This window comes from Homo sapiens, chromosome 15, assembly GCF_000001405.40.
Source record: "Homo sapiens chromosome 15, GRCh38.p14 Primary Assembly".
NCBI lineage: Eukaryota > Metazoa > Chordata > Mammalia > Primates > Hominidae > Homo > Homo sapiens.
In genome coordinates, this window is record NC_000015.10 from 56149405 (window position 1) to 56155879 (window position 6475).

Here is a 6475-nt window from a genome sequence, read left to right on the forward strand (position 1 = left end):
ATAAAAATGTGGAAACAGACAGGAACAGCACCGGTCTGCAATTCCCAGCGAGATTGATGCAGAAGGCGGGTGATTTCTGCACTTCCAACTGAGGTACCTGGTTCATCTCACTGGGACTGGTTGGAATGTGTGTGCAGCCCACGGAGGGCGAGGCGAAGCAGGGTGGGGCGTCACTTCACCTGGGAAGCACAAGGTGTCGGGGAATTTTCCCCCCTACCCAAGGGAAGCTGTGAGGGACTGAGCCTGAAGAACTCCAGCACAGACACTGCGCTTGTCCCATGGTCTTCGTAACCCACAAACCAGGAGATTCCCTCTGGTGACTACCCTACCAGGGCCCTGGGTTTCAAGCACAGAACTGGCTGGCCAATTGGGCAGACACCGAACTAGATGCAGGAGCTTTTTTTTTTTTCTTCTTTGCCATACCCCAGTGGCATGTGGAATGCCACTAAGACAGAACCATTTACTCCCCTGGAAAGGGGCGCTGAAGCCAGGGAGTCAAGTGGTCTGGCTCAGCGGGTCCCACTCCCACGGAGCCCAGGAAACTAAGATCCGCTGGCTTGAAATTCTCGCTGCCAGCACAGCAGCAATCTGAGATGCACCTGAGACAGTCGACCTTGGTCGGGGGGTTGCGGGGTGGGGCGGGGGGGTCGGCCATTGCTGAAGCTTGAGTAGGCAGTTTCACAGCCACAGGATAAACAAAGCTGCTGGGAAGTTCAAACTGGGTGGAGCCCACTGCAGCTCAGCAAGGCTGCGGTGGCCAGACTGCCTGATTGCCCCTCTCTGGACAGGGCATCTCTGTAAAACAGGCAGCAGCCCCAGTCAGTGGCTTATAGCAGACTTAAACATCCCTGCCTGATGGCTCTGAAGAGAGCAGCAGAACTCCCAGTGCAGCGTTCCAGCTCTGCTAAGGCTCAGTCTGTCTCCTCAAGTGGGTCCCTGACCCCTGTGTATACTGACTAGGAGACACCTCCCAGATGGGGCCGACAGACACCTCATACAGGAGAGCTCTGGCTGGCATCTGGCAGGTGCTCCGCTGGGTCGCAGCTTCCAGAGGAAACAACAGGCAGCAATCATTGCTGCTCTGCAGCCTCCGCTGGTGATACCCAGACAAACAGGGTCGGGAGTTAACACATCCACTCAAAGACCCCACTGGAAGGTCACCAACATCAAAGACAAAAGGTAGATAAATCCACAAAGATGAGGGAAAACCAACGCAAAACGGCTAACAATTCCAAAAACCAGAACGCCTTTCCTCCTCCAAAGGATCACAACCCCTCGCCAGCAAGGGAACAAAATTGGATGCAGAATGAGTTTGAAGAACTGACAAAAGTAGGCTTCAGAAGGTGGGTAATAACGAACAACTTTGAGCTAAAGCACCAGGTTCTAACCCAATGCAAGGAAGCTAATAACCTTGAAAAAAGGTTAGTTGAATTGCTAACTAGAATAACCAAGGTAGAGAAGAACATAAATGACCTGATGGAGCTGAAAAACACAGCACGAGAACTTCGTGTAGCATACACAAGTATTAATAGCCAAATCGATCAACCAGAAGAAAGGATATCAGCTGAAGATCAACTTAATGAAATAAAGCGAGAAGACAAGATTAGAGGGAAAAAAAAAAGGTACGAGTCAAGCCTCCAAGAAATATGGGACTACGTGAAAAGACCAAATCTACATTTGATTGGTATACCTGAAAGTGACAGGGAGAATGGAACTAAGTTGGAAAACACTCTTCAGGATATTATCCAGAACTTCTCCAACCGAGCAAGACAGGCCAACATTCAAATTTAGGAAATACAGAGACCACCACAAAGATACTCCTCGAGAAGAGCAACCCCAAGACACATAATCGTCAGATTCACCAAGGTTGAAATGAAATAAAAAATGGTAAGGGCAGCCAGACAGAAAGGTCAGGTTACCCACAAAGGGAAGCCCATCAGACTAACAGCAGCTCTCTCGGCAGAAACCCTACAAGCCAGAAGAGAGTGGGAGCCAATATTCAACATTCTTAAAGAAAAGAATTTTCAACCCAGAATTTCATATTCAGCCAAACTAAGCTTCATAAGTGAAGGAGAAATAAAATCCTTTACAGACAAGCAAATGCTGAGGGATTCTGTCACTGCCAGACCTGCCTTACAAGAGGTCCTGAAAGAAGCACTAAACATGGAAAGGAATAACTGGTACCAGCCACTGCAAAAACATACCAAATTGTAAAGAACATCGACACTATTAAGAAACTGCATTAACTAATGGGCAAAACAACCAGATAGCATCATAACGACAGGATCAAATTCACACATAACAATATTAACCTTAAATGTAAATAAGCTAAATGCCCCAATTAAAAGACACAGACTGGCAAATTAGATAAAGAGTCAAGACCCATCAGTGTGCTGTATTCAGGAGACCTATCTCATGTGCAAAGACACACATAGGCTCAAATAAAGGGATGGAGGAAGATCCACCAAGCAAATGGAAAGCAAAAAAAAGTAGGGGTTGCAATCCTGGTCTCTGATAAAACAGACTTTAAACCAACAAAGATCAAGAGACAAAGAAGGGCATTACATAATGGTAAAGGGAACAATGTAGCAAGAAGAGCTAACTATCCTAAATATATACGCAGCCAATACAGGAGCACCCAGATTCATAAAGCAAGTTCTTAGAGACCTATAAAGAGACTTAGACTCCCACACAATAATAGTAGGAGACTTTAACACCCCACTGTCAATATTAGATAAATGAGATAGAAAATTAACAAGGATATTCAGGACTTGAACTCGGCTCTGGACCAAGTGGACCTAATAGACATCTACAGAACTCTCCACCCCAAATCAACAGAGTATACATTCTTCTCAGCACTTCATCACACTTATGCTAAAACTGACCACATAATTGGAAGTAAAACACTCCTCAGCAAATGCAAAAGAAGGGAAATCATAACATATAGTCTCCCAGACCACAGTGCAATCAAAGTAGAACTCAGGGTTAAGAAACTTACCCCAATCCGTACAAATACATGGAAACTGAACAACCTGCTCCTGAATGACTACTGGGTAAATAACGAAATGAAGGCAGAAATAAAGATGTTCTTTGAAACCAATGAGAATGAGACACAACATACCAGAATCTCTGGGACACATTTAAAGCAGTGTTTAGAGGGAAATTTATAGCACTAAATGCCCACAAGAGAAAGCAGGAAAGACCTAAAATTGACACCCTAACATCAAAATTAAAAGAACTAGAGAAGCAAGGGAAAACAAATTCAAAAACTAGCAGAAGACATGAAATAACTAAGATCAGAGCAGAACTGAAGGAGATGGAGACACAAAAAACCCTTCAAAAAAAAAAATCAATGAATCCAGGAGCTGGTTTTTTGAAAAAAAAAAATCAACAAAATAGACCACTAGCCAGACTAATAAAGAAGAAATGAGAGAAGAGTCAAATAGACACAATAAAAAAATGATATAGGGGATATCACCACTGACCCCACAGAAATAGAAACTACCATCAGAGAATACTATAAAAACCTCTATGCAAATAAACTGGAAAATCTAGAAGAAATGGATAAACTCCTGGACATATACAGCCTCCCAAGTCTAAGCCACAAAGAAGTCGAATCCCTGAATAGACCAATAACAAGCTCTGAAATTGAGGCAGTAATTAATAGCCTACCAACCAAAAAAAGTCCATGACCAGACGGATTCACAGCCGAATTCTACCAGAGGTACAAAGAGGAGCTGGTACCATTCCATCTGAAACTATTCTAAACAACAGAAAAAGAGGGACTCCTCCCTAACTCATTTTATGAGGCCAGCATCATCCTGATACCAAAACCTGGCAGAGACACAACGAAAAAAGAAAATTTCAGGCCAATATCCCTGATGAACATCGATGTGAAAACCCTCAATAAAATACAGGCAAACCGAATCCAGCAGCACATCAAAAAGCTTATCCACCATGATCAAGTTTGCTTCATCCCTGGGATGCAAGGCTTGTTCACCATACACAAATCAATATACATAATCCATTCACATAAATCCAATCCACATAAACAACAAACGTAATCCATCCACATAAATCAATAAACATAATCCCATCCACATAAACCCAATCCACATAAAAAGAACCAATGACAACAACCATATGATTATCTCAATAGATGCAGAAAAGGCCTTTGATAAAATTCACCCCTTCATGCTAAAACCTCTCAATAAACTAGGTATTGATGGAACTTATCTCAAAATAATAAGAGCTATTTATGACAAACCCACAGCCAGTATCATACTGAATGGGCAAAAACTGGAAGCATTCCCTTTGAAAACTGGCACAAGACAAGGATGCCCTCTCTCACCACTCCTATTCAACATAATATTGGAAGTTCTGGCCAGGGCAATCAGGAAAGACAAAGCATAAAGGGTATTCAAATAGGAAGAGAGGAAGTCAAATTGTCTCTGTTTGCAGATGACATGATTGTATATTTAGAAAACCCCATCATCTCAGCCCAAAATCTCCTTAATCTGATAAGCAACTTCAGCAAAGTCTCAAGATACAAAATCAGTGTGCAAAAATCACAAGCATTTGTATACACCAATAATAGAGACCCAAATCATGAGTGAACTCCCATTCATAATCACTACTAAGAGAATAAAATACCTAGGAATACAACTTACAAGGGACGTGAAGGATTTCAAGGAGAACTACAAACTACTGCTCAAGGAAATAAGAGAAGACACAAACAAAAGGAAAAATATTCCATGCTCATGGATAGGAAGAATCAATATCATGAAAATGGTCATACTGCCCAAAGTAATTTATAGATTCAGTGCTATCCCCATCAAGCTACCACTGACTTTCTTCACAGAATTGGAAAAAACTACTTTAAACTACATATGGAACCAAAAAAGAGCCCGCATAGCCAAGACAATCCGGGGCAGGAAAAACAAAGCTGGAGGCATCATGTTACCTGACTTCAAACTATACTACAAGGCTACAGTAACCAAACAGCATGGTACTGGTGCCAAAACAAATATACAGACCAATGGAACAGAACAGAGCCCTCAGAAATAACTCCGCATATCTACAACTATCTGATCTTTGACAAACCTGAGAAAAACAAGCAATGGGGAAAGGATTCCCTATTTAATAAATGGTGCTGGGAAAACTGGCTAGCCATATGTAGAAAGCTGAAACTGGATCCCTTCCTTACACCTTTTACAAAAATCAACTCAAGATGGATCAAAGACTTAAACGTAAGACCTAGGACCATAAAAATCCTAGAAGAAAACCTGGGCAATAGTATTCAGGACATAGGCATGGGCAAAGACTTCATGTCTAAAACACCAAAAGCAATGGCAACAAAAGCCAGAATTGACAAGTGAGATATAATTAAAACTAAAGAGCTTCTGCACAGCAAAAGAAACTATCATCAGAGTGAACAGGCAACCTACAGAATGGGAGAAAATTTTTGCAATCTATCCACCTGACAAAGGACTAATATCCAGAAACAAAGAACTTAAACAAACTTACAAGAAAAAAAACAACCCCATCAAAAAATGGGCAAAGGGTATGAACAGACACTTCTCGAAAGAAGACATTTATGCAGCCAACAGACATAGGAAAAATGCTCATCATCACTGGTCACTAGAGAAATGAAAATGGGAACCACAATAAGATACCATCTCACGGCAGTTAGAATGGCGATCATTAAAAAGTCAGGAAACAACAGATTCTGGAGAGGTTGTGGAAAAATAAGAACGCTTTTACAGTGTTGGTGGGAGTGTAAATTAGTTCAACCATTGCGGAAGACAGTATGGCAATTCCTCAAGAATCTAGTACTGGAAATACCATTTGACCCACAATATTACTGGGCATATACCCATAAATCATTCTACAATAAAGGCACATGCACACGTATGTTTATTGCGGCACTATTCACAATAGCAAAGACTTGGAACCAACCCAAATGTCTATCAATGATAGACTGGATTAAGAAAATGTGGCACATATACACCACGGAATACTATACAGCCATAAAAAAGGATGAGTTCATGTCCTTTGCAGGGACATGGATGAAGCTGGAAACCGTCATTCTCAGCAAACTATCACAAGATCAGAAAACCAAATACTGCGTGTTCTCGCTCATAAGTGGGAGTTGAACAATGAGAACACATGGACACAGGGAGGGGAACATCACACACTGGGGCCCGTCGGCGGGTGTGGGGCTAGGGGAGGGATAACATTAGGAGAAACACCTAATGTAGGTGACGGGTTGATAGGTACAGCAAAGCACTAGGGCACATGAATACCTATGTAACAAAACTGCACGTTCTGCACATGTAACCCAGAACTTAAAAAGTATATTTAAAAAAATGTGGAAACAAGAAAAAGTCTCCTCCCCATAATAAAAAAGGCTTTCATTCATTCATTTTTTAGATTAGTATTTAACTTATTTTGAATTTCAAATGATATTAACCAA

General features: G+C 41.8%; 1 protein-coding gene and 1 long non-coding RNA gene across 10 annotated transcripts in view, besides 1 other annotated feature; one reads left to right on the forward strand and one right to left on the reverse strand.

Annotated features, from left to right (window-relative positions):
• The window catches only part of RFX7 (regulatory factor X7), a 157803-nt gene that overhangs the window by 62125 nt on the left and 89203 nt on the right, over nt 1-6475 (reverse strand). The gene's annotated exons all lie outside the window — the stretch shown is intronic.
• LOC124903498 (uncharacterized) overlaps nt 1-6475 on the forward strand; it is a 13130-nt gene continuing 6655 nt past the window's right edge. The window contains exon 1 of the long non-coding RNA XR_007064648.1: nt 1-93. This is a non-coding gene — a long non-coding RNA (uncharacterized LOC124903498). The remainder of the gene's footprint in view (nt 94-6475) is intronic.
• Nucleotides 447-741: a silencer, noted in NCBI's record as "tiled region #1757; K562 Repressive non-DNase unmatched - State 23:Low". NCBI's record gives its function as "represses a minimal TATA promoter and a strong SV40 promoter by Sharpr-MPRA in K562 cells {active_cell/tissue: K562}" and the evidence as "EXISTENCE:reporter gene assay evidence [ECO:0000049][PMID:27701403]".